This window comes from Homo sapiens, chromosome 8, assembly GCF_000001405.40.
Source record: "Homo sapiens chromosome 8, GRCh38.p14 Primary Assembly".
In the NCBI taxonomy this organism is placed as follows: domain Eukaryota; kingdom Metazoa; phylum Chordata; class Mammalia; order Primates; family Hominidae; genus Homo; species Homo sapiens.
The window spans coordinates 41,777,025-41,803,665 of NC_000008.11; the positions used below are offsets into that span (position 1 = coordinate 41,777,025).

At 48.2% G+C, this 26,641-nt stretch overlaps 1 protein-coding gene and 1 long non-coding RNA gene across 10 annotated transcripts in view, besides 4 other annotated features; one reads left to right on the forward strand and one right to left on the reverse strand.

Annotated features, from left to right (window-relative positions):
* The window catches only part of ANK1 (ankyrin 1), a 243,517-nt gene that overhangs the window by 123,800 nt on the left and 93,076 nt on the right, over positions 1-26,641 (reverse strand). For 4 of the 5 annotated variants that reach the window (NM_020477.3, NM_020475.3, NM_000037.4 and 1 more), the window contains exon 1: positions 20,488-20,598. The exons of the other annotated variant lie outside the window; for it this stretch is intronic. In NM_020477.3, the coding sequence (NP_065210.2) occupies positions 20,488-20,514 (27 nt within the window). In that variant the 5' untranslated portion in view covers positions 20,515-20,598. Of the gene's footprint in view, positions 1-20,487; positions 20,599-26,641 lie in introns of those variants that run through there. 5 annotated transcript variants of the gene reach the window in all.
* Positions 15,033-16,232: an enhancer, noted in NCBI's record as "P300/CBP strongly-dependent group 1 enhancer chr8:41649575-41650774 (GRCh37/hg19 assembly coordinates)". NCBI's record gives its function as "activates an origin of replication core promoter dependent on BRD2, BRD4, P300/CBP, MED14 and CDK7 cofactors, with strong dependence on P300/CBP, by STARR-seq in HCT116 cells {active_cell/tissue: HCT116}" and the evidence as "EXISTENCE:reporter gene assay evidence [ECO:0000049][PMID:35650434]".
* Positions 15,087-15,381: an enhancer, noted in NCBI's record as "tiled region #1042; K562 Activating DNase unmatched - State 1:Tss". NCBI's record gives its function as "weakly activates a minimal TATA promoter and a strong SV40 promoter by Sharpr-MPRA in K562 cells {active_cell/tissue: K562}" and the evidence as "EXISTENCE:reporter gene assay evidence [ECO:0000049][PMID:27701403]".
* Positions 15,307-15,601: an enhancer, noted in NCBI's record as "tiled region #14104; HepG2 Activating DNase unmatched - State 1:Tss, and K562 Activating non-DNase unmatched - State 1:Tss". NCBI's record gives its function as "activates a minimal TATA promoter and a strong SV40 promoter by Sharpr-MPRA in HepG2 and K562 cells {active_cell/tissue: HepG2 | K562}" and the evidence as "EXISTENCE:reporter gene assay evidence [ECO:0000049][PMID:27701403]".
* On the forward strand, positions 20,754-24,317 carry LOC105379392 (uncharacterized). 5 transcript variants are annotated; one of them, XR_949708.3, is made up of 3 exons: positions 20,754-21,355; positions 21,970-23,404; positions 24,107-24,317. It is a non-coding gene; the product is annotated as an uncharacterized LOC105379392 (long non-coding RNA). The 5 variants fall into 5 exon arrangements; XR_949707.3 differs by having other exon boundaries at positions 21,970-22,551; positions 23,295-24,317; XR_007060899.1 differs by having other exon boundaries at positions 20,754-20,870; positions 21,263-21,355; positions 21,973-24,317.
* Positions 21,671-22,870: an enhancer, noted in NCBI's record as "BRD4-independent group 4 enhancer chr8:41656213-41657412 (GRCh37/hg19 assembly coordinates)". NCBI's record gives its function as "activates an origin of replication core promoter dependent on BRD2, P300/CBP, MED14 and CDK7 cofactors, and independent of BRD4, by STARR-seq in HCT116 cells {active_cell/tissue: HCT116}" and the evidence as "EXISTENCE:reporter gene assay evidence [ECO:0000049][PMID:35650434]".

Consider the following 26,641-nt stretch of genomic DNA (forward strand, 5'->3'; position numbering starts at 1 on the left):
CTGGCTGCTCTTTCAGATATCTTTTCATACAGTATTTATATCACCCTTTTTGTAACTATTTAAATTTAAAAGGTGAGGAAATAAGCTCTAAACTGTCAACCCTCAGCTGCATTTCTTTCTACGTTGCTTATCTGCAGAAAACTCTGCCCATCCCAGGGGAATCCTAAGGTATGTCTCTAATCTGGGTATTTCTTATCTGCACAATATTGAAGGGTGTCTAGGGGGCCCCCTCTTAAAGCCTTGGCTTCATGTCTTTTTAAAGAAATATGGCTGGGTGCAGTGGCTCACACCTGTAATCCCAGCACTTTGGGAGGCTGAGGCAGGTGGATCACCTGAGGTCAGGAGTTCGAGACCAGCCTGGCCAACATGGTGAAACCCCATCTCTACTAAAAATACAAAAATTAGCCAGGCGTGGTGGCGTGCACCTATAATCCCACCTACCCAGGAGGCTGAGGCAAGAAAATCACTGGAACCCAGGAGGCAGAGGCTGTAGTGAGCTGAGATCACGGCACTGCACTCCAGCCTGGGCCCTGGGCAACACAGCAAGACTCCGTCTCAAAAAAACAAAACAAAACAACAATAAATAAAAACAAACAAACAAACAAACAAACAATGTTATGGTTGTGTTGGCAACTTTCTTTCCAGCTCTGCAGTTCCATGAATTCGTGAAGTGAAGACCTCATTTCTACTCTAACATCAGTGCTGAAGTCCACTTTCATAATCTCCTTTTCAAAGTGACCTGTCTCAGCACTCGTGACCTTGAACTCCTGAATAAAGGGATGTCAAGCATTAGAGAAAGAATGAAAAATGCACAGTGAATCTAGTATCAAACAAAAACAGCCAGCGCATCATTTCTGGAATGACTGAGTTTTAGCCTTCGGAGAGAGACATTTCCAGGATTTCTGAAATAAGATACCAAGATGCCAATCAACATTTCCTAAGGACAATCATTACCAATATCCACACCCGCCTCTACTGCCTCAAGTGCTTTTCGGGTGAGGGTCACAGAGATAAAGTCTCAATGCAAAAATTCGGTGGGACTAGATAGATAGGCTTTTTCCTCATTCATTTATTCTTTCACTCAAATGTGAACTGTTGAATTGCATTGTACAATCTCAGCACCCAGTGGTAGACACAAAAAAAGTAAAGGCTGTTTGGTTCCTACTCTTGGGAAGACTGCAAACTAACAGAGGTGAAAGATAGAGCTGTATGAAAAATAGGACAATAAAAGGGTCAAATACTCAGTAAGATAATAGCTCAAGAGATGCCCCAAGACAGTGTGCAATTAAATACCAAACGAGAGGTTGCAACAAGAACCACCAGGAGTTCAAGGGAGTGGCTGAGATCAGAGAGGGCTACAGCACTGGGGGCATCTTTGATGGAGCAGTGAGAATTGAACAGAATCTTCAAAGACTGCCAGGTTTTAGGAAGTTGTGGGGATCCATTTCAATACCACCAATGCTTTTTCAAAGGCCGCTGTGTTCCAGAATCTTCTTGATTATAAAAGATAATCAGAGAACACAGGCTTCCTGACCTCCTGGAGAGAACGTGTGGATCCAGAACCAAACGCTTGAAAATTAAAACATGTATGTTAGACAACAACATAAATACGTCTATTGTAGGAAGCTGTGTGAATGTTATGTAAAGGAATGATTCGTTGCTAACGATCGTATAGCCTTTACAGCATTAAATGTCTCCCGTTGTGAGGTTGGAGGGAGTTTCCATCCCTCACAAAGATTTTATACAAAGAGGAAAATAAAGTGATGATTTTTAGATTTATTCAGTCATTTAAAAATTATGTGTGTGCCTGTGGAGGGGTCAGGCCTTGTTTAGGATCCGACACTGAACACACAGGCAGGAAGCCCGCGCTCATAGAGCTGACATTCCTATGGGAGGGAGGAGAGAGAGATAGAGGAGCAGTAAGATCTATTTATCCCACAGGGAAGTGGTGAGTGCTAAGAGGAAAATCAAACGTGGAGTGGGGATGGAGAGGGCTGTGGGGTGCAGTACCCGATGGTGTTCAGTCCCGGAGGCCTTTATGAGGAGGTGACACTTGGGGAGCTGGATGCAGGCAGGGATAAGGCAGCAGCACCTGGACATGCCCAGGCTGTGACAGGTAAGCTCCATGCAGTGGGAGACCACTCTAGTGCCCCAACCCATCCCTCTCCTATCCCTGAGACATGCCCCTTGCTTGGTCTGGAATGCCCTTCTCTACACCTACAGATGCTAGACAACTTTTTTTTCCCTTTCTCTCACTCTGTTGCCCAGGCTGGAGTCCAGTGGCACAATCATAGCTCACTGCAGCCTCGAACTCCTGGGCTCAAGAGGGCCTTCCACCTCAGCCTCCCAAGCAGCTGGGACTACAGGTGAGCACCACCACACCTAGCTAATGTTTTTCATTTTTTTTTTATTGAAATGAGGATCTCACTATGTTGCCTAGGATGGTCTCAAACTCCTGGCCTCAAGTGATCTTCTTGCCTTGGGCTCCCAAACTGCTGGGATTACAGGCATGAGCCACTGTGCTCAGCCTCTAGTTTGATGCCCATGGGACAAGCAGTTAGAGGCACTGGTGGAGGAACAAAAGAAAAAAAGAAAAGACAGGAATCAATAGCATTTTAGGAGGTGCTGGGCACTGCTCTAAGCATTTTACAAGTGTTCACCCACTTAACCCTCACAGCAACTTTATAAGTCAGGTGTTCTACTTATCCTTATTTTACAAGTGGAAAACAGGGCACAGAGAGGTTAAAAAACTTGCCCAAGGTCACATAGCAGAGAAGTGGCGGAGTTAGGATTTGAACTCAGCAACCGGAGCCAAGTCGGCCACCGCAAGCATTCTGCTTTTGTGCCTCAAAGACGCCTGTGCAGCAACAAGAAGCTCAGAAATTCTGAGGAAGTAATGGTTAAGAGAGACATGGGATCTGGCTGGGAAAGCCATGAGACAGAGCCTAGGGAGGTTCTTGGTTCTCCACCGACAGCTTTTGCTACAGAGCACGGTAGCCCCTTGTTCAGGCCACTAACTCTAATTAGTATTTTGCATTTGCCAAGTGCCTACCCTGTGCTGAGGCCAATGGAAGGATGCTGAAGTCAGTGACAGCTGACATAGTCCTCCCAGGGCCTCCCTAGGAACTGGCCTGGGATGCAACTGGCCAATCAGACCAGACAGTTGGCCTGGGTTCACTTCTTTTAGAATTTTTTTTAGAGATGGGGTCTTGCTATGTTGCCCAGTCTGGGTTCAAGCAATCCGACCACCTCAGCCACCCAACGAGCTAGGATTACTGGCACAAGACACTGCACCCAGCCTCTTCTTGATTTTTGACCAATAACTTTCCATTATTTCCTCTTAGACTCCAGTTGAATTCATGAATAGCATTAACATTTTTCAAATGCCCATAGGAGTTTGTTGAGTTAACCTGAGTGACTCACCAGAGAGCCTTCAGCTTATTCTCCTCTTCTCTGGGGGGTGAGACGTCCTCCTCTGCCCACCCAGCGGGTGCAGAGGGGAGGGGACGCTTCTCCCTCAGTAGATTCTTCCTTCCTAAATGGGCCAATGTGTCTCAGACACTGAGGGTCAGGGTGTTCCTGGAGTCTGAGGCCTTGGCAGCGCTGGCCGCCAAGGGAACATGTGTTCCATGGGCCACCCGGAGGGAACATGTGTACACATGTGTGCATGCCTGTGTGTGCACGTGTGCCTGTGTGTGCATGCGTGCATGTGTATGCATGTGCACGAGTGTGTGCATGTATGAGTTTGTATTTGTGTATATATGTTCTCGTGTGTGTGTATGTATCTGTGCATGCATGCATAGATGTGTGTGTGCACATATCAAGGCAACTTCAGACAAAGAAACCAAGAGTGGGTCCCAGGGGGTTAGTTTCTGGGGCTGGGGACAGGGTTGGGGGAGAGGATGACAAGGAGGATGCAGCTGGGGGTGGGGAGAGAATATACTACAAAAAGAAATCAAGAGTGGTTCTGGCATTTAATTTCTAATCTCATCTCACTAGAAAACTTGTAAAATCCTCAACCAGAAGTGCTAAAGAGAAACGTCTCTGCCTGGTTCTTCTACATTTGTGGAAAGTCTCCCTCTCTGGAAAACAGTCACCACTTTCTGCTTTCACTGGGGACTACATTTGGAAGGCTGGAGAGAAGAGCTGAAAGCCAACAGGAGGTCTTGCTGGTGATGTGGAGTGGGTTCCATCTGTGGCCCATGCACCCCAAAGCCTCTCCAGCCACCTCAATCTCCTGGCCCTCTGCAGTTTCTCTAAAACGTGGCAAGCTCTGGACCACACACAAGCCCAACAGCCAGGACTCCCTGCTGAGCAGCCATTCCCCAACTGGAAGGGCTACCATGCCAGGCAATTCCGAGAGACGCCTTTTAGGCAGAATTCACGAGAATCTGTTCTCGCCCCAGCACAGCTGTGCACGGTGCCTGCTGCGTGGGTACCACACCCAGGGACCACCTTCCCAGGCCCTCTCACTGTATTTTCACCACCCTGCCCTCCCTTCTGCAGCCATCTACACACACTGCTGTTGTCTTCTGCAGAGGAATAAGCATGCCTCAGTCCCCATCCCAGCAAGAGCAGGAGGCATGGCAGAGGTGGCACCAGAGAGCACATCCCCTGTGGCCTGGGACGGACCATTCCACAGTCACCCCACTGGAGTCTGCACAGATGGCTCCTCCCTGCCCTTCATGGGAAGGGACGGAGCTGAGGGCACAGAGACCAGCAACCAACAGACCCCCGACTCAGGGCGGTGACCCAGGGCCAGGAGGGAGGCAGAGGGTCTCCAAGGCCAAGAGGGCTGGGGGCACAGGTCAGCTTCAGGGTCCATCCCAGGGGCTGGTACTAGGAGAGGGTGGAGAGCACCCTGCGTGAGGGCTGGGGGTCCCTGCTGCTGGCGGCTCCCCTGCTGCCTCACAGCTAAGGGTCTATGTCACAGTCAGGGACAGAGCGCCAAGAAACACCCCTGGCCAAACTGGGAATGGAGCTAAGTAAACCCAGGGATTTAAATAACTGGGATTTTTAAAGGCTAGGCACAAAACAGGGGTTTGTGACAATGTGCAGAGCCCTCCATCTAGAGGAAACATTTCTTATGTGCCTGACACCAGCTCCATCTCACTTGGGCCCGGGGCCCTTTAGCAAGGGTTCCTGCTGCCACACCCCCTGCCATGGGGCCACCAGATGGAAAAATAACTGAATATTTCCATAGAGAGCTTTCAAACCAAACATGCAAACTCACAAGGCCAAAATGCATGGCCAAGAAGAAAACGCAGAGGTTTGCTGCAAAGGAGCCCACCGTGTTGGGGGAGGCTTTGCCTGGCATTTCTTGGGTGGGTATTTCAAACAGGGAGAGTAAAGCTGCTCTCCTGCAGGTCCCTTAATGTCACCCTCTGCGTCTCCTTTTACCTATTTGCCACTAAGCAGCAAGCCACTGAACCATTCCACTCCCCAGTTTCCTCCCCAAAATAAGATCTTATTTCCCAGAGGGAGCAGCGTACGGACTGAGTGAGCCCTGCATCCAGCAGGTCTTCCCCTAAACATTGTAGAGCCCTCCGTGCCCCCAGGTAATTCCTGACACCCAGAAAGGACGGGGCCGCCTGTTGAGAACTGTCTCAGGGGGTCTCAGATTCTCGCTGAATTGAATTCTAAGCATTTTATTTGAATCAAAATATATCACATTGCATACATTAATGTTTACTTCATCTTATGCATTTGGAGTTAGAGCCTCTCTAATCACCTATGCGAAACTAAGTAAGCAAGGTGTAAATCTGGATCCGAAATTAGATGAAAAAATTCCATCCTGTTCAGCTTATCAAATTTCAAGTATTTCATTAACTTGATCATTAGATGCTGGCTGATCAGAAAGTCCCAAGATTTCTAACTACTGTAATCTAAATGGTATAGGCGTTTCTAAAATATCCACACTGAAAAAAAGCTCCTTTGCTCATCCCAAATCCATTTCATCTGATTGAATGATTTTCTCATTTCCACAGAGAGCTGTTAAACCAGCCAAGCAAACTATCAAAGCTCCGCAGGCCCAGGAGGAGGAAGAAATTAGACGACATTTGGATAAGTCAGTTCTTAGCAAAGTAGTAGTGCACCTAATTAAGTGAATGCAGCGCATGGGGTTTCTGTGAACCAAGTCCTATTTCCTCTGAGAGTTGTCTAACTGGTAATCCAGTCATTGAAGGAGATCGTTTCGAAAGTCTCCCAAGTCCTACTCCCGGTCCATGCAACTGTCCCTCCTCCCAAATTATCCACAAGACTCTGATCAAATACTTCCCTCTTTGGAGAATTCTAATTTTTGGAAAGTTCTTTCTCATCTCAAGTTGAAATCTGCTTTCCTGTGACTTCTACCCCACCCTTTCCCGGGTCCTTCCCTGGAGCACCAAGGAGTGAATCTCTACTCTTGCTGGTAGCAACCTGGTGACAATTCGGGACTTTTTTTCAGCCTTTTCAGTATTCTCTTTTCCTCTGTTCCTCCAAAGTTTCTCCCAGGCATGCAGAAAGACCCTTTTCCTCATTGAACCCCTGCCTACGTCCATCCAATGATCAAGGTCTCTCCAACAAAGGAAAATCTGAACGCCATCCTCTTAATGGAGACTGACACTGCATTTCCCAAAATGTGTTCCCAGGAACACCAGCCCTGTGCAATGTCACCCACACCAATCCAAAGGGTGCTCTGGGCAAGTAAATGTGGACAATGCAAACCTTGTCCTTACAGAGTCACAAACCAAGGAAGCATATTACAGCCCTGAGCAGGGCCAGGTATGGTGGCTCACACCTGTAATTCCAGCACTTTGGGAGGCCAAAGTGGGAGGATCATTTGAGGCCAGGAGTTTGCCACCAGACTGGGCAACATAGCAAGACTCCATCTCTAAAAATATTGTTTTTAATGAGCTGTGCATGGTGGCATGCACCTATAGTCCCAGCTACAGGAGAATCACTTGAGCCCAGGAGGTCGCGGCTGCAGTGGGCTATGATTGCATCACTGCACTCCAGCCTAGGCAGACTTGGTGGCATCGCAAGACCCTATCTCAAAAAAAAAAAAAAAAGCTGTGAGCATTCTTGGAGAAACTGATTAACAGTGTTTAAGCCAAGATTCCATAATCGCATTTGACTCTAAAACTCTTTATTTCCCCCACATAACACACTTAGGGAAAGGATGGTTATTTTCACTCTGACCGAGCTTTGAACACTTCACTATATTTCTCTACCCCACTCTCTCACCCCCACTCTCTCTACCCCATTCTCCACTCCTAGCCTCCTGGTGCCCAGGAACTAACACCATCAAAACAAAGAACTTTAATGCAATAGCTCTCAGTATTTAGTGAATTCCTTCTTAAAGCAAAGCATCCTTTTGGGATAGAATTAATCAATTCCCTAATTTTCTGGCTTTGTAAATGTGAACGTTAGTATATTAAGTATTCACCCCTTCAATAAGATCTGTAATACAATTCAATGCTACCACCTACCGCAAGGACATTTTTCAGGTAATTGATGTTTGTCATTAAATTCACTGACAAATATGAAAGGCAAGGAGAAAACTAGAAACATTTTGGACACTTTTTATCATGCATGTATAACTAAATCTATTCAGTTAAAGCTTTTTTTTGCCTTCCACAAACGTTTTTATCTATAATATTTTTCATATGCACTTGGGAGCTAATTACTGAAAGAAACCTCATGGTGAAGGTTTTGCAAATTAAACAAACATCCTGCAATGCATCTGGGCTTTGAATCTTGATGCATGCACAGTTTTTGAGGTGGTTTTGTTTTTGGTTTTCTAAGTTCAGAAGAAAGCCCTGTACATAGTGGAACAAATTATGTTCCTTCAACAAATCAGCGTTTCTTGAAGGAATGGGCAAAGCAGGTGATACAAAGTTTCCAAAAGATGGGCCTTCCCCAGGTCACACATGTGGTCAGTGGGCTTCCAAGGGTTCCATCTGAAATGCTGCACAGGACCTGGAAGAGCGACGCTGGGCTTTGCCAGCCCTCGAGCCCCGGCTTCTCCTCTTGAGTCTCCTGTTTCTGCCCCTCAGATGAAAGCAGAATGAGACTGGGCATGATGGCTCACTCCTGTAATCCCAGCACTTTGGCAGGCTGAGGCAGGAGGATCACTTGAGTCCAGGAGTTCAAGACCAGCCTGGGCAACACATCAAGACCTCTTCTCTACAAAAAATTTTTAAAAAATTAGCCAGGGGTGTGGTGCATGACTATGGTCCTGGCTACTCGGAAGGCTGAGGCAGGAGGATGGCTTCAGCCCAGGAGTTCAAGGTTACAGTGAGCTATGAACACACCACTCCACTCCAGCCTGGGTGACAGAGCAAGACCCTGTCTCTAAAAGCAATTAATTAGATAATAAAAACACATGAAGCAGAATGAGTTTGTGATTAAGGACTCTGAGTCTAGGGCCAGCTTGCCTGGCTTCCTGCCCTAGTCCGCAGCTGTCTAGCTACGGAGAGGTGAGTAAATCAATCTCTCTGTGCCTCAGTGTCCTTATCTGTAGCCTGTAGTGACCTCACGGGATAACTATGGGGATGAAATGCGCTCCTGCCTGCATGGTTCTTAGATGAGGCCTGGCTGGGGTCCGACCTTCCCCTCTTGTGGGTGTGGTCACTCCAGTCCCAACCACTGCTGCCCCTGCTCGCTGCGCATCCCTGAGGGTCTCCATCACTTCCGGGCCTGGGCCTTCCCGCAGGAGTTGCCGAATTGATCTTGCGGTCTCCAGGCTTCCTTCCTTTCCAGATCACTCACTGCAAGGGTCCTCCCGCTCAGAGCCGTCCATTGCTCCTCGGTGCTTTCCAGACCCTTTAAACACCCTGGCGGAGCCTTGCTCGGCCCTTCTGGGTCCACTTGGTAGCCGAGGGTCCGAGCTGACCTCATGCTTTCCGCACTGTCGGGCAGCGTTGTCATCAGCGGTACTCTCCGCCTGGGAACCCTCCCGCGTCTCTTCTCCCTGTACTCTGGAGTGCCCCTTACAGCCAACTTAAAGGCACCTCCCTGCAGATCGTCCCTTGATTCCCTCCGATGCAGTTTTCTCTCCTCCTCCCGAGTTTCCAAAGCATTGTATCTTGTAGCAGGTTCCTTTTGGCGCGGTTTGTGGTCGAGGCACAGCCCATCTCCCCTTCCAGGCTCTTAAATGCTTTTCAGAGCAGCCACCACAGACTCTGAAAGAAGAGGAGGAGCTCGCGTCTTGCCAGGGGCTAGGAATTAGGAACATCTCAGAGGGGGGCTCCCTGTAGGAGTCAGGGCTGGAGGGGCGTCTACAGGCAGCCCTGGGTGTTGCCCCTGAGCCCTGAGAGAACCTTGGGGACCCTGTAGACAGGCTCCACCCAGGTCACAGTCATAATGCCCCTGAGGAGAAAGCATCTTTATTGGTAAAGAAATAAACAAAATTAGATGCAAACAAGTAAAGCAAAGATCTTTCAACAACACCTTCAGGCTGCCCCAGCCACTGCTGGCTCTGAAGCCATCCCATTTATTCAAAGGCTAGGGACAAGCCCCCAGTGGCCACGTTGCAAACTAATGGAGTCGAGAGAAGGGCTCAGAACAGTTATCCTAATCCTGGAATGGCTATTTAAGTACCACTTTGTGCCTGAGACATTCGGAGCAATTTGCTAATCCCAGCCCAGCACTCACCACCAGGCCCCTTTGTGGTGGTCGGTGCCACACACTAGTGTCTCTGTTTCTCAGATGCAGGCATGAGGACACTGAAAACAAGTGAATATTCAAAACTCCGCAGGAAAACTATCTCGATGGAGCCTGGAAATTCAAGCCTCCCGATTTGCCAGTTCATCCTACAGATGCTTTTTAACCAAATCTGAGAAACACAGTGGTTCTAATGAAAGGCTGTTTCTATGGCAGATTCCATAAAGAGAAAAGAACAAAGGCAGTGATGGAACAAGTTCCCTTCAACGAATCACTCAACACAGCAAGGTTGACATGTTTTCATGGTTTCCCACACACTGAAGTCAGAGTGGGTGTCCAGTGGTCATTCATTTTTCCACTCCACATGTATTTATTTAGTGCCAGAGACGTCCCAAAGCACAGAGGGATGCCTGATGGGGGCCATGGCCTTAAGGGGACCAGAGGGTGAGGAGCTGGGAAGCTGGACTGGAGGGCAGGCCCTGGCCTGGCCCAGAGGGGTGGGCTGGGCTTGGACAGGGGCAGGGAAACAGTGGTGGAGGGGCTGGAGGCCAGTGGAGACGAGCAGTCATGCTTTGTGGGTGATTATATAAAAAATGTGGGAAAAGTCCATTCTGGCTGGTGATATTAAATGGCAATTCACACCCATTTGGTAATGAAAAGCCTCCCCTACCTATGGCTTCTGTGTAGTAGAAAGAGCTGGGCTTAGAATTCACACAGTCCTAGGTCAGACCCTGCCACTTACTGGCTCTCTGACCTATATTTAATGGTGACCCACCCCCCAACCCCCAGCCCAACCTGACAGGGGTAGCTGGGAGAGATAAGGAACTGGAAAACGTGTGGTATCATATGACCTTCTGAGAGGTAAACCAGTGCAATCAACACAGAGACATAGCCCCAGCTAGCTTCAAACATCCTTGAAAAACAGGATGTCTCTTAAGTAAATAGCAGTCAAAACATGGCTCATCTGATTAAGGCTAAACTAAAGAAGGAGACAGAAAGAAGAAAAAAATAGCCAGGCGTGCTGGCCTGCACCTGTAGTCCCAGCTGAGGTAGGAGGATAACTTGAGCCCAGGAGGTGGAGGCTGCAGTGGGCCATGACCACAGCACTCCAGCCTGGGTGACACAGTAAGACCCTGTCTCAAAAGGAAGAAGAAAGAAGGCAGGCAGGCAGGAAGGAAGGAAGGAGAAGAGGAGGGGGAGGAGGAGGAGGAGAAAGAAGGAAAAACACCAGTGACCTAGAAATGGCTACCATAATACACCACCCTGCCCCCCAGTACCCCTGGCAGAGGTTGCTAAGTTATCACAGCACTCTTGCCCATAAGCCTTAAAGTGGCTTCAGAATCTCTCAACACAGCATCCCAGACAGCTGCTATCAATCGGATTGGCGTTGACACCAGGCAGTGAGACTCATTTTCTATTCCAATGTTGTTTAATCAGCAATTTGTAACAAACACAGTGCTCTTGGCTATGGGGCGTGCATGATTCATCAGGCCATAGCACAGTCTCGATGACAGATTCAAGACGATGTCGCCTCCTGTTTCTCTGATTGCGCCCTTACCAGGACATTGGTTGTGACTGACTTGCCTTTTAGGTTTTCTTATTAGGACAGAATTCACTGACCGGAGAACACAAGTGAACAAGAACACAGAATGGCAGAGGACCGGAGGAGTCAGATTTCTCATTGTGAAGTCGGAGTACTGACGTGAACACCAGACACCTGTGAGGTGCATTAAGTCAGTTTCCAAACCTGCTATCCTCTGGTTGTGTCTCAAAATCAAGTTACCAGAACTACATCTCAGACCACAAGGGCACCTACACGACCAGCCAGTCAATATCCCCAATAAACAACTTTATTTCATCACTCTTCCTAGCTGCAATCTCAGTTTCCTCATCTGTAACATGGGTAATTTTTATGTGGCCACTGTAAGCATTAAATATGCTGCGATATTTAATCACGTAGCATGGTGGCGGGTACAAAGTCGCTACTCAAGAATGTTCATGATCTTCCAATCCCCTCGATTTAGGACCTCATCAAACCTTACTGGTAGAGGGGCAATATTTTCACTCCAGTGACCCCTCTTCATCAGCCCTGCCAGATGGGGGCTTTCTGAAGCCCTAACACTTTCCTACTCAGAAAGCTTTGTGGGCTTCCCCAACCCCTGTGGACTAAAGACCAAAGTCTCAGGCTGACGTTCAGAAGGCTCCTCAAACCAGCTCCTCTCTATCTCTTCATCCTCATCTCCTACTCTGTCCACCCCACCTGTCCCTCAACACTGGATCCTACACCTCTCCCAAACACACAAGCCACACTTTTCATGAGGCTTTCTCTGTTTTGTGAAATTCTACAGATTCTTCAAGGCCCATTCAAAGTTCTCTTCCTCTGCAAAGCTTCCCTGGCACACTCTCTTGCTTTCCTGGCCAGAGCGTTCACTCTTCCCTGTTTCAGCCTCCATGGTATTGTTCGAATGCAGCATTTCCCACTTCCTGAGAACAAGAGACTGTGTGATTTACTGTTTCCTATTCCATACTTTCTGTTGGCCTGAGTCAAAGGTGCGTTAAAGGTAGGAAGATCTTCTTTAAATTTCCAGAGTTCTTAGAAGGTTAAGAGTTATTGATCCAGAGAAGAACCTGTGATTTCAAAAAAGTTTATAATCACCGACTTTTCCCAAAAGGCTGGCTCTGATTTCCTGTGTTGCTCACAGCAACCCCAGGGCAACCACGATGGTCTTTGGTTTCCAGGTGCGGACTGGAGATGCGGGGAGGGCACATATCTGATGGAGGATAAAGTCCAGAAAGCAGCAGAGCACAGTTTGGAGGTCAGGCACTCTGGCTGCGGTGCCCACAAGCTGGACCATGTGCTGTGCTGCTGGGCCCCTGCGGTCACACTGCCAGCCTCAAGGCCCTGTGTGGACGAGTTCACCTGCACCAGGCAATCTGGACATTGGGACTGAAGACTAGTGGGGAGACAGGCATCTAAATAACAGTTTCAGCACGACCAGTATGGTGAAGAGTGTCTATATTAGAGAGTTAGGAGACAGACGTGAGCTGGGAACCTCGCTGGGAAACATAGGCCAATCAATTAACTGTTCAACCCTGTTTCCTCATCTAGAAAGCGAGGACACTGTCACCTACATCCCAAGATAGTTTCAATACCACGTTAAGATGAAATATATAAAGAAAGTGCTGTGCTTCTTGTATGGTAAAATGATATAATTCCACACACAAGGTTTGAAAAGCTGGTAGAAAGGCAAGGGATAAAACCCCGGGGACCTCAGGCCACACAGTCCAGCCAATTCCTGGGCTGAACCTGTCGCCACCTGGATGACACGTTTGTGAAGAGGGTGTTCAGAATCTGGGCAGTTCCTGTCACCCGCCTCCAGGTCCACTGTAAGTCCCACATCACTCACCAAACTGCACTCTCCATGCTGTGACAGGCCAGACTGTCCTAGGGTATCTGACCACTTGGAAAGGAATCTTTTTTTTTTTTTTTTTCAGAGACAGAGTTTCACTCTTGTCGCCCAGGCTGGAGTGCAATGGTGCGATCTCGGCTCACTGCAACCTCTGCCTCCTGGGTTCAAGCGATTCTCCCGCCTCAGCCTTCCAAGTAGCTGAGATTACAGGCACCCACTACCATGCCCAGCGAATTTTTGTATTTTTAGTAAAGACGTGGTTTCACCATGTTGGCCATGCTGGTCTCGAACTCCTGCCCTCAGGTGATCCGCTCAGCTCAGCCTCCCAAAGTGCTGGGATTACAGGCATCAGCCACCACACCCGGCCTGGGAAGGAATCTTGAGCCCAGTCACTATCCTAAGTCAGGGAGCTCAGGGAGCTCAGGGAGCGAGCTTCCCCTTCCCTCCTAACCACTGCACCAACACCTCTGCACCTCCCACCCCCACCCCACCAATTCATGACCTGCCCTGAATCTCACTCCTGGCGTTTGCCTAATCCTCAACTAATCCCACTAAGAACTAGTTCCCTGCATCTGTACAACTCGAGATCCTATTATACAGCTTTAAATGCATGCAATTAATAGAAGACTTTGAGATATAAAACCCCTTTAAGAATTTAAGGAATAATCTCTGATGGCGGAACTTTAGACTTTCTGGCTAATGGGGGTTGGGGGAGGTATTCAAAGACTACGAAGACATTCTGGCATCTTCAAATCACGCCGTGTAGACAGAACATTAGCCAGTCCCAAGCGGGACTTAGACATGTTAGAGGTTAGACAGATGGGAGATGAGGGTCCTCTAGCCATTGACTCCCTTTGGAGAAAAAGCAAACTACAGGTACACACCCTGGCCCAGCCCAGCTCCCCCACCCAGAGGAGAGGTTGCCAGAGTGGGCTGACAGCAGGACAGAGGGCACCAGGTGGCTGCACAAGCCGCTAATAGGTTTTCTGAGTAGCTGGAATCTGCTCCACTGTTTGCAAATCATCATCACCCTCCATCAATGGCTGCGCCCCTAGGTGTGGAGAAGGGCTGGACCTGTGCCAGCCTCTTTTCAGCTTTTCTCAGTACTAACTTTGTTTTTTTTTTTTTTTTTTTTTTTTTTTGAGATGGCATCTCACTCTCAGCTCACTGCAACCTCCGCCTCCTGGGTTCAAGTGATTCTCCTGCCTCAGCCTCCCGAGTAGCTGGGATTACAGGCGCCTACCACCATGCCTGGCTAATTTTTGTATTTTTAGAGATGGGGTTTTGCCATGTTGGCCAGGCTGGTCTCAAGCTCCTAACCTCAGGTGATCCATTGGCAGGCACTAACTTTCTCTCTCTCTTTCTTTCTTTTTTTTTTTTTGAACGGAGACTTGCTCTGTCTCCAGGCTAGAGTGCAGCTCTGCTCACTGCAACCTCTGCCTCCCAGGTTCAAGTGATGCTCCTGCCTCAGCCTCCTGAGTAGCTGGGACTACAGGCGCACGCCACCATGCCCAGCTGATTTTTGTATTTTTAGGCAGGGATGGGGTTTCACCACGTTGACCAGGAGGGTCTTGATCTCTTGACCTCGTGATCCGCCCACCTCGGACTCCCAAAGTGGGGAGGCACTAACTTTCTGAAGAAAACTGAAACCAGGTGCCCTTTCTTCCAAAATATTGCTTCATTTCCCACATCTGGAAAGGGCAGAACAGTGTTCTGACCAATAACACCCTGGGGGAGGGCCACAGAGGCTCCCCGCTGCCTTCCAGACACCATGGGGGGCCCAGAGCTTTCTCAGGAAGGAAAACCCTTCCAGGCGTTCCTATAGGAGAGAAGGGCTGGGGTCAGAAGGTTGTTTGCTTGCTTTGTTTTTCCTAATCTGTCTATAAACAAGTTTTCTGCACAGGCAACACACCCTGTCTCATTCCTGCGCCACCTTCCCCTACACGCTAATAGGTTTCAGCAGCTGCTCAGCCGGGCCCATTAGCAGCAGTCAGCCTTCCTCCTGTAATGCGCTTTTCTTCCTGAGCCCCCACAGTAAATTCAGGAGATAAATCAGCCTCTGCTCAGAGAGCAGCAGCCGAGGGGAGGGTGACAGTCAAGGGTGAGCGGGAGGCAGCAGGGAAAACAATGCCACTTCTCACTAGATTTCTAATTGGTTGTCACTGCCTGTCGGAGAATGATGACAAACGCCACACTTGCCCTGAGAGGGCTGCAGTCCAGGCTGGGCTGTGCTGAGAAACCTCGTCCGGCAGGGGTGTCAGGCTGTAACCACCTACTCCCGCACGGGGCCAGCTTGCAAATTTATTTTCCAGACCTTCCCGACATCAATTGGCCCAACATTTTCCTAACAGCCAAAGCTCACGATCTGGGCAAGCGAAGGAGAAGCAGGAGCTCAGACTCATTCATGGGTTTCCAATTAATTCACTTAACAAATCTATTTTTCAGCCCCAGGTTCAAGACCTTGGTCGAAGCCAGGGAAAATAAGAGGAAGTGACTCAAAGATGAGTCAGATGGAGCTGTTGCCCGCCTCCCGCCCGCTCACAGCGTGGAGGAGAGATGACATATATATAAATAAGCGGGGAGGTGTGGAAAATGAGGAGGGCCCTGAGGGAGGTTCTGATGAAGTGCAATGAGAGTTCAGAGGAAGGAGAAACTATTTTATGAATTTTAAAAAATCCCAAGAGCAGAGTATCTAAAAAGTCATCCACGCAAACCCTAGAGCAATAATTTTCAATCGCAGGTTTGTGAGCAAACTGCTAAGCAGTCATCAACCACGAGGTGTTCTGCAAATAATTTACTGTTCATTCATGAATGCAACCAACATTTAATGAGCATCTACCATGTGGCAGGCACTGTGCTAAGTGCCAAGGACACAGCAGTGAACAAGGCAAGCCTGAGTCCCACCCATGTAGAGTTTCTGAATATTATATAAAAATGTCCAAGTGCAGCCTGTTGAAGGAACTGACAGTGTCCTGGAGCAATTATTGTGGGAGTTCTGAATAAGAAGTAGTCCAGGGCCGAGTGCGGTGGCTCATGCCTGTAAACCCTGTGCTTTGAGAGGCCAAGGAGGGAAGCTCACTGGAGGCCAGGAGTTCAAGACTAGCCTGGGCAACATAGTGAGACCCCTGTCTCTACAAAAAATACAAAAATTAGCTGAACGTGGAGGTGCACACACCTGCAGTCCCAGCTAATCTGGAGGCTGAGGAAGGAGGATCACTTGAGCCCAGGAGTTGGAGGCTGCAGTGAGCTATGCTTGTGCCACTGCACTCCAGCCTGGGCAATACAGTGAGACCCTGTCTCAAACAAACAAACAATAAAAAAAAATAAATACAACAGTGCAGGATCAGGACAGGAGGCATCTCAGGAAGGAGTCTACACTGTCCTAAGAACACTGTGAAGCCACTGAAGATTTAAAGCAAGAAAGTGAAGTGGTAAGATTTGCCCTTCTAAAACAGCACTTTGGTTGTGTGTGAAGAATGGATTAGAGGGAGTGAGACCACCTGTAAGAAGACCACTGTTGCTTTTTAAAACTTAGAACACATTCAAGGTTCCCCTCTATCACAGCTCTGCTCTTGCACACTTACACCCGAGCTTTCTTGACAGCTCATGCTCCAGAACCTTGTTCCGCTTTATCCATGCCAAGGTCCCAAGAAGACCATGAAGGATCTTCTGCAGCTGTGATTGCAAATTCATATACTACATATGAATTGTGATTTTATAGTGGCTCCCATCTCCTTTTAAATATAACCAGTGGTAAATTATTAAGTAGGGAGCATCTATGGCACTATTTTCTCATTAAATAGGAACGTGTAAGAGAGAGGGGGATTATTAATACCCAGGTATAGCCATGAAATATGTCATGCAGAACTATGTCAACAACCAGCCCTATGTATCCCAGAGGGAAGCAAGTTGAGAACGGTTGTACTACAATTGCATGATAACACCATTTGCCACACTATATCAGGTGGTTTAATTTGGTAGCCCATCCCTACAAAACGTGAATCCCTGGTTTCAAAGGCATTAGGAAGTCATAGGTATAGGCAGAAGTCAGATGGTGCCATTTGCCTCATACAAATACTATCTAATGCTTCTCATCTCGCTCAAGGCAGAAGTAAAATCCCCACATCAATGTACAAAGCCCTGCATCTTCTGCACCTGTGCCCCTTTCCCAATCTCTCTGACCTCACCTCCTCCTGCTCCTCCTGCCTCACTCTGCTTCAACCACACTGGCCTCCCGGTTATTCCCATGACACACGCCTGCCTCAGGACCTTTGCATGTGCTGTTTCCTCTGGAGTTTGGCCTGGCTGTTTCCTTCACCTCTTTATCCAATGGCACCTCAATGAGGCTGTCTCAGAGTACCCTATTTCAGTTGCAGAACTCCCCACACATCCTATTTCCCTTGCCCGCTTCCCTCTCCCTCAATAACAGGACTGACTTTTCACCTTTCAACAGAATGCAGTTTACTCCTTTATTTTGTTTTTAGCCTGTTTCCTTCCCCTGCTGGGAAATAAGCTCTGCAAGGACAGAGTTTTTGTCAGTTTTATTCACTGCTATATTCCCGGTGCCCCAACAGGACCTAATACACAATAGGTGCTTCATAAATGCTTGTTAAAGGTTTTTGTTTGTTTGTTTGTTTGTTTTTGAGGCAGAGTCTCACTCTGTCACCCAGGCTGGAGTGCAGTGGCACCATCTCGGCTTACTGCAACCTCCACCTCCCAGGTTCAAGCGATTCTCCTGCCTCAGCCTCCTAAGTAGCTGGGACTACAGGCACACGCCACCACGCCTGGCTAATTTTTTTTATTTTTAACAGAGGCGGGGTTTCACCATATTGGCCAGGCTGGCCTCGAACTCCTGACCTCATGATCCACCTGCCTTGGCCTCCCAAAGTGCTGGGATTACCGGCGTGAGCCACCGTGCCTGGCCGTAAAGGTTGTTAAACAGACCTGGAGGACAAAGGTTTTTAGTCACTTCACCTTTAGAAAACACTCTTATTTTCTCTGTTCATTTTGGCAACACCAACAACTGAAACCCTGCTTTTCTAAATATATTGCAGTTTGATTAATCTCAAAATAAGTCAGCTGGTTTTGCAGAGACACTGGCAGAACCATTTTGGGGTGAGAGGTGGCAACCTGGGTTTAAAAACTATTATAGGCCAGGCGCAGCGGCTCACGCCTGTAATGCCGGCACTTTGGGAGGCTGAAGCGGGTGGATCACCTGAGGTCAGGAGTTCGAGACCAGCCTGGCCAACATGGTGAGACTGAGACTTAAAAATACAAAAATTATCCAAGCATGGTGGCACGCACTTGTAGTCCCAGCTACTCAGGAGGCTGAGGCACGAGGATTGCTTGAATACAGGAGGCAGAGGTTGCAGTGAGCCAACATCACACCACTGCACTCCAGCCTGGGCAACAGAGCGAGACTCTGTCTTAAAAATAATAATAATTATTATTAAATAAATAAATATAAAAACTAATTACAGCTGCTTGAGCCACGAAAAAGAATGAAATCATGTCATTTGTAGCAACGTGGTTGTAACTGGAGGTCATTATGCTAAGTGAAATAAGCGAGGCACAGAAAGACAAATACTGAATGTTCTCAGTCATACATAGGAGCTAAAAAAGTTGATTTCTTGGACCTAGAGAATAGAATAATAGATACCAGAGACCAGGAAGGGTGGGTGGGGGGCAAGAGAATGAAGAGAGATTGGTTATGCGTACAAACATACAGTTAGATAGAAGAAATAAGTTCTGGTGTTTGATAGCAGCTTAGGGTGACTATACTATAATAGCAACAATACCGTGTACATTTCAAAGTTACCAGAAGAGAGGACTTGTAATGATACCAACACGTAAAAATGATAAACATTCAAGTCTATGGACACCCCAAATACCCTGTCTTGGTCAGTACACATTCTATGCATGAAACAAACACTCACATGTATTCCACAAATATGTAAATTATTATATACCAATAACAGAGAAGAAACTAATTATAATTGACCCATAAAGTCAAGGGTGAGTTGAGTCTATGGATCCTGGTTACAATAAACGTCTTCAAGCCTCTGTCCCCTTTGCTAATGTTTTCATAACCGAGTAACTCACTTCAGCCTCACAGCAGACCCATTTCCCAGACAAGAAAACTGAGACACAGAGAAAAGTGGCTTGAGGCTGTAACTTGATTTGTGAAAGAAGGCTAATTTTACCCATTTTTTCCATCGGCCATTCCTTATTCCTGCAAAACACTTGCGTTTGAGTCTGAAGACAGTTCACACATTGCACGGGACACCTGCAGTCACCTGCCTCCTTCCAAAGTTGGCTATGATCAGGTCTCCAAGACTCACCCTGAACCTCTGCCCTAGAGTGGTGCCACAAGAGGAAAAAGACTCTACCAACTTAACCTGAATTGCTTGCCGCTGGTGGAACTAAAGTGGGAGGCCCAAGCTTCCTCTACAGAGCCTCTCTCTCCTTAGAAAAAAAAAAAAAATCAACCAGGAAAGGCAAATTGTACAGATGCCACTAAAAAGAAATTCCCGCTTAGTATTGCTTCCTCTGCACCCAGCGACTTTTAGACAAGCAGAAGACGAAATGCCCTGCCCGCGACTAAACCAGACTCCTTTTCACTTACTACCCTTTCAGCGTGTGTGTGGCCTGATGTCCAACTCTGGGCTCTGAATCCATCACTAAACTAAGAACCGTACCCAACAAAGGACACTGACACATGGCACAGGCTGGCCGTGCTGCCAGGCAGAGATAGGACGGGTTCTATCTACACAGGGAGAACAAGAAGGCTGGAGTGGCCTTGCTAACGCGCCATTATCACTTGAAAAATATCCATGAGAGCCTATCTCCCCAGGCCACGCCGCCGCTCTTTCCCTTCCTTCGTAGACATATTTCTCTCCATGAATTAACAACATAAATTAAAAGAACCGAGCAGGTGTGACCATGAGACCACCGGCCTCCGTGAGTCTTTGAGAAAACAAGCCAAAGTCCCCTTCCAAATGACAGTGACAGCCCCCTAGCCGGGTGGCCCACCCCGCAGCCTGTAATAACACACCTACAAAACGCAGTTTAGCAGACTCAAAGGAAAGCCTCTAAGATCTCAATAGATTTGGACTATAATCCAAAAACCATCCCTCCCCAGCGCTATTGCTGACAGGACATAATTCAGAGACCCAGGTAGTTGGAACTCAATTTGACAGCAAATCTCTGGATGTAAAAAATATGAAACTGGCTTCAGCGAGTAGGGCAGAGTCCACCTGCTGCCTTCAGCTACAAGGTCGATGTGCCGCTATGCTAAGGCAGGGAGCCCACGGGGAGGCGAGGCGGGTGGGGTGTGCAAAGCTGCTCTTGCTCGCGTGCTGCCTACTGGCGCGGCCTGGGTGGCCCCCTCCTGACATCTCCCCGTCCACCCGAGCAGCCGCCCAGTACTCACTTCGCGGAAGCCCACAGAATAGGGCATGCCGGTCTTTCAGCAGGGGCCCGCCGAAGGGCCTTGGGGGCTTGAGGAGGAGCAGCTGGGGCTGGCGGACTCACCGCAGCCTCTGCGGGGCCTGTGACGTGCGGGCCAGGCCCCCGAGGGCCTTATCGGCCCCAGAGGCGCTTGCTGTCGGGCCGGGCGCTCCCGGCACGGGCGGGCGGAGGGGTGGCGCCCGCCTGGGGACCGCAGATTACAAGAGCACCTCCTCCCCCAACCCCAGGAGGCCCCGCTCCCCAGGCCTCGGCCGGCGCGGACCCCTGGTTGCCCCGGGGTCGAGAGCAGCCGGGGAGAGCTGAGTTCAGAGCCCAGAGTTGGACATCAGGCCACACGCTGAGAGGGTAGTAAATGAAAGGGAGTCCGGTTTAGTCGCGGGCAGGGCATCTCCTCTTCTGCTTGTCTAAAAGTCGCTGGGTGCAGGGGAAGCAATACTAAGCGGGAATTTCTTTTTAGTGGCATCTACACAATTTGCCTTTCCTGGTTTTTGTTTTGTTTTGTTTTGTTTCCTAAGGAGGGGGAGGCTCTGTAGAGGAAGCTTCGGCCCTGGGTGCCCCTGGGTTGGGAGCAGTCGGGGAGCGCTGAGCCAGGGCGCACGCCCTGTCGGCGCTGCGGGTGTGGGGCGCAGGAGTCCTTCTGGCCGGCCCCTCCGCCCCCCGGGGAGGCTGGAGCTCTCCAAGGCCGGGGAGCCTCCCGAAGCGCGCTGCCCCCTCTGTTCTCCGCGTGCTTTCACTAGGGCCCCATGCTGCTTAGTGGCCGATTTGCAGGGAATCTGGGCACAATCTTAATAACACCAGGGCCAAAAATAACAACGTTCCTGGGAACCGAGGTGAGTCACCGCAAACAGCGGCTAGGAGGGCGTGGGATGGCGCGGGCAGGGGGGCGCCCAGGCGGTCCCGCAGCTGCCAGAAGGTCGGGGCTGCCCACCAGCCAGGCTGGACCATCCCAGGCCAAGCTCCTGCAGGCCTGGCCTAGGAAGCCGCCTTTTGCAACGTCCGCCCGTCCAACAACGGGATGAGATGTCATCTGCCCAGAATGGCTTTATCAGTGAGAACACCATATCCTGGAATGGCAGTTGGTGGCTGGCAGAGGGAACAGGTGACCCCGAGGAGCTGAGCTGCGGGGCCAGGGGCATGGCAGCCTCCCTGGACCCTGGGGGTGGTGCCATTAAGGTGGGGGCTGTCTCCCTCCATGGTTTCCTCTAGGGGTGGGTGTCACCGCTGGGGGCCTCTGGTGCAGTCCTCCCTGAGAAGGGTCTCTCCAGCCTTCCTCACGTGATGCTTGGCCTCCTGCTGGGCCCACGCTGGTCCAGGTCCCCTGACGAGGCCGCCATCTGGCTTTAGAGCTTTCCCGCAGCACCAAACTGGCCTTGCCATGAGGGCACAGCTGCTGCGGAAAGATGCCACCGAGATCAGCTTCATGACCCGTCTGTGTTTTCCACAGCAGCTGGAGCGCACCCCATGGACGCTGGGCCATCTCCCCGGGGACTAGTGCCTGACAGAGCTGACAGAGTTCTAGGCCACATGTGGGCTAGAAGGAACCGCCATGTCTACCACAGCACAGTCCTTAAGCAGGAGCCTTTTGAAGCACTTGGACTCAAAACAATGGCTGTTTGTTGTTGTTGTTGTTGTTGTTTGTTTGTTTTGAGGGAGCCAGAAAGCTAAAAAATGTAAAAGAAGCAGGTCACATTAGACATGATTTCAGACAGCCTCCCCGAAGGACAGATGATCTCACTTGGCAACACATACTGGGCCAGGCTCACTCATGAGGGGGCAGCGTGGCATGCACCCCACTCAGGGGCAAGAATGAAGCTTAAATATTAGCTGACTCAGAACATAGCAAGTGCTCAGTAATGGCTTCTGGAACGAACCCGTGGTTGTCACCAGCAGGAGTGACGAAAGCTAGAAGCCGTTTCACCATCCAAGGAAGAGGAGGAACAATATTTTTCTCTTTGGAGTTCCCACACTCAGAAGAGAGAACACCAGCATATGAACACAGAGTGTCACATGATGTAGGAAACATCCTGTAGGTAGAGAGTATAATTCCAAAGCTTAGGATCCTGCTAGTTCCTTGTGCAGTGCTTCCGGTGGGCAACATGGTGCCTCCCCAGTCCCTCAGGCTTGAGGCGGGCCAGCACAGCTTCTCTGGGAGCCAGGTCATTTCAGAATTTAACCCCAGAACTAGGTCACCCCAGGCAACACAAGGCTCCTCTCCCTTGGATACAGGAAGCGGAGGAAAAGGCCAGGCATGCTCAGGGGCAAACCAACACCCAGGTGAAAGGGAGCTGGGCTGGTTTCGGGGAGCAGCCTGGTTTCAGGGAGCCGGACTCACGATGTGCTTGAGACCCTCAAATTCACCCCTGGAAGCAGCTGCCCCCGTGACAAGGAACTAAGGACAGGCATGTCATGGACTGTGAATTGGAGTGACATTTGTCCCTCCCTTCACCAACAGACTGCCCCAAGAGCTTCCCAAGTTATCTGCCATAGAATACCTTGTTTCCCTCGAGTCTCTGAAAGGGGGCCGCAAAAGCTGTCCCCACGCTGGAAATGCAGGGCCAGGCTTTTAAAGTTTTGCTCCCGGATTATGAGAACACCTAGAAAATTCAGTGCTCCTCTCCACTCCCCCAAACCCCTTCACAAGCCCCCACCCTTTGTTTAACAAACATATATATAGTGCTTTCCTGGTACCAGATACTACTTTAAGCACTTGACAAAATATTTAGTCATACATAAAACCCTTATAATTACACTGTAATTCACTCTCGTCAGATCCAGTCATTGTGAAGAAACGGAGGCACGGGGAGATTAAGAGAGCTACTTAAGAAGACACGGTGCCAGGTTTCTACCCAAGCCATTTGGATCTAGGGTCTGGAGGCCATGTGAGCCATTTTGCATTAGATTAACGCTTTAATTCAGTTCACAGTTAGACAATATACGTTCCCCATCTATATCTATACCCATCTGGAAGGCAACAAAAAGATAATAAACTGATAGTGTCATGTGCCCATGACCCAGCTAACAAAGAGGCTCTGGGTTCCAATGCCCCAGTCTTTCATGGGATTCCATCGACCTCATGCCCTGCTCCCCTCCCCAACAGAGATGGAAACATTATCCTGAATTTTGTGTTTATCATCCCTTGTTTCTCTCTATAGTTTTTCCACTTATGGTTGTATGATTTTTGTTTGTTTGTTTTTTGAGACGGCATCTCGCTCTGTCACCAGGCTGGAGTGCAGTGGCGTGATCTCGGCTCTACCTCCCAGGTTCAAGCCATCCTCCTGCCTCATCCTCCCGAGTAGCTGGGACTACAGGCACACGCCACCATGCCCAGCTAATTTTTGTATTTTTAGTAGAGACGGGGTTTCACCTTATGGTTGTATCTTTAAACAATGTCTTGTTTAGTTTTGCCATGTTTTTGGACTGTGAATAAGTAGAATTATTATGCTGTGTGAATTCTTCTGCTACTTGCATTTTTGCTGCAACGTCATGTTCCTGAAATTCAGCCAGGATTCATTTATTCCTTTTCACTGCTGTGTGATATCCCATTGTAGGCAAATAGTACACAATATTTATTTATTTTCCAGATGGGATCTCATTCTGTCACCCAGGCTTGTAGTGCAGTGACCCCATCACGATTCACTGCAGCCTTGAACTCCTGGGCTCAAGCAATCCTCCTGCCTCAGCCTCCTGAGTTGCTAAGGCCACAAATATTTATCCATTTTACTGCTAATGCAATTTGAGCTGTTTTCAACTTTTTCCTATTAAAACATTATTGCTATGAACATTCTTATAAAAGCTTCCCAGTGCACGTGTGTGAGATCTTTCTAGTGTGTATGCTAGCAGGAGAATTACTGAGTTTTACCGTACATGTATCTTCAATCTTATTAGATAACACTGACTTGTTTTTGAAATTGGCTCTTCCAATTTACACTGTCAACAGCAGGGTTATGTGGTTGCCCTGCAAGTTCAACAACATTTGGTATTGTCAGACTTTAATATTTTTGTCAATCTGGTTGGTATAAAATGGTATGGTGTGGTGCTTTTTATTTGCATTTCCATGATTACTAATGAGGTTGAGCATCTTTTCACATGTTTATGGGCCATTTACTTTTCCTCTTCTATGAAATTACTATTCAAGCCCTTTGCCCATTTTTCTGTTATGTTGTTTGTCTTTTTCTTATCGAGGTGGAGGAGTTCTCTGCAGTCTGAATACGAATCATTTTTCAGTTATGTGCATTGAAAATATCTCCTCCCAGTGTGTAGTTCTTTACACTTTTTAAAATGGTATCTTTTAACGAACTAATATGGGTTTTAATGTGTCAAATATGTTGATCATTTTCTTTATGGTTTGTGTTTCTTTTGTCTTAAGGAGTCCACTTCTACCCTGAGCTTATACAATTTTTTCTGTATTATATTTATTTTATAGGGTTTTTGTTTTGTTTTGTTTTGTTTTTTGTTTTTGAGATGGAGTCTTGCTCTGTCGCCCAGGCTAGAGTGCAATGGCACCATCTCAGCTCACTGCAACCTCCGCCTCCCGGGTTCCAGCAATTCTCCTGCCTCGGCCTCCCGAATAGCTGGGACTACAGGCACTCACCACCACGCCTGGCTAATGTTTGTATTTTTAGTAGAGACAGGGTGTCACCACGTTGGTCAGGCTGGTCTCAAACTCCTGATTTCAAGTGATCTGCCCACCTTGGCCTCCCAAAGTGCTGAGATTACAGGCATGAGCCACCACGCCCGACCTATAGTTTTACTTCTCATATTTAGGTCTTTAAATCCACTTGACTTATTTTGTGTATGATGTGAGTTGAGTTCTGATTTTTACTATGTGGATAATGAAATATCCCTGCACCATTGATTAGCCCATCCTCTCCCAGCTGAACTGTGTCATGTTCATCGTTTATTAAGTCTCCACATGCATGAGTCTGTTGGAGAGGAGAACTCTCTCCTATGATCCATTGGCCTATAAGTCTATCTCAGTACTGATGTCATACTGTCTTCATTGCTACTGCAACTAATAATACATTTTATAATAAATTTTAATATTGTCCGCAATAAGTCTTAGTATTGTTGAGGAAGTCTCTTTGCTTTATTCCTCTAGAAAAGCATCATAACAGCTGGGCACAGTGGCCTACACCTGTCATCCCAGCACTCTGGGAGGCCGATCACTCGGGCAACATGGCAAAACCCCATCTCTACTAAAAATAGAAAAAAGTAGCCAGGTGTGGTGGCTTGCATCTGTAGTCCCAGCTACTGGGGAGGCTGAGGTGGGAGGATCACCTGAGCCTGGGAAGTCATTGAGGCCGCAGTGAGCGATGATCATGCCACGGCACTCCAGCCTGGGTAATGAGAATGAGACCCTATCTAAAAGAAAGAAAGAAAGAGAGAAAGGGAGAGAGAAAGGGGGGGGGGGAGAGAGAGAGAGATGAAAAAAGAAAGAGAGAAAGAGAGAAAGAAAGAAAGAAAGAAAGAAAGAAAGAAAGAAAGAAAGAAAGAGAAAGAAAGAAAGAGAGAAAGGAAGGAAGGAAGGAAGGAAGGGAAGGAAAGGAAAGGAAAGGAAAGGAAAGGAAAGGAAAGGAAAGGAAAGGAAAGAAAGGAAAGAAAGAAAAGAAAAGAGAAAAAGAGAGGGAGGGAGAGAGAGAGAGAGAAAAAAAAAGCATCAAAGCTTCTCTTGGTCCTTTGCCCTCTTGTTTGATATTTTTATTGGGTTGTTACAGTCTATAGATACATACATTTTTGTATCTTGAGCCTGTAGCCAGAAATCTTGTTGAGCTCTATTATGAGGTCTCCTAGTTTGTCCCTGGCTGGTCTGAGTGCAGTGATGTTTACAACTAATTGGTCACATTCAGTTACAGATTTATTTGTTCCTTCTCCATTCCCACTGCTTCACTTGACTAGCCTTCAAAAAAATTGACCATGATTCTCTTTGATTTTTCTCTGTAGACAATTATTATTCACAAATCAGGACATTTTGTTCTCTTCTTTTACAGTTTTTGCACCCCTTCTTTGCTTTTCTTGCTCTATTACATTGGGTAAGATATCCAATATATTTTTGAACGGAAACAGTGATAGCATGTTTATCTAGTTGCTGACTTAAATGGAGCTGCTTTTAAAGTTTT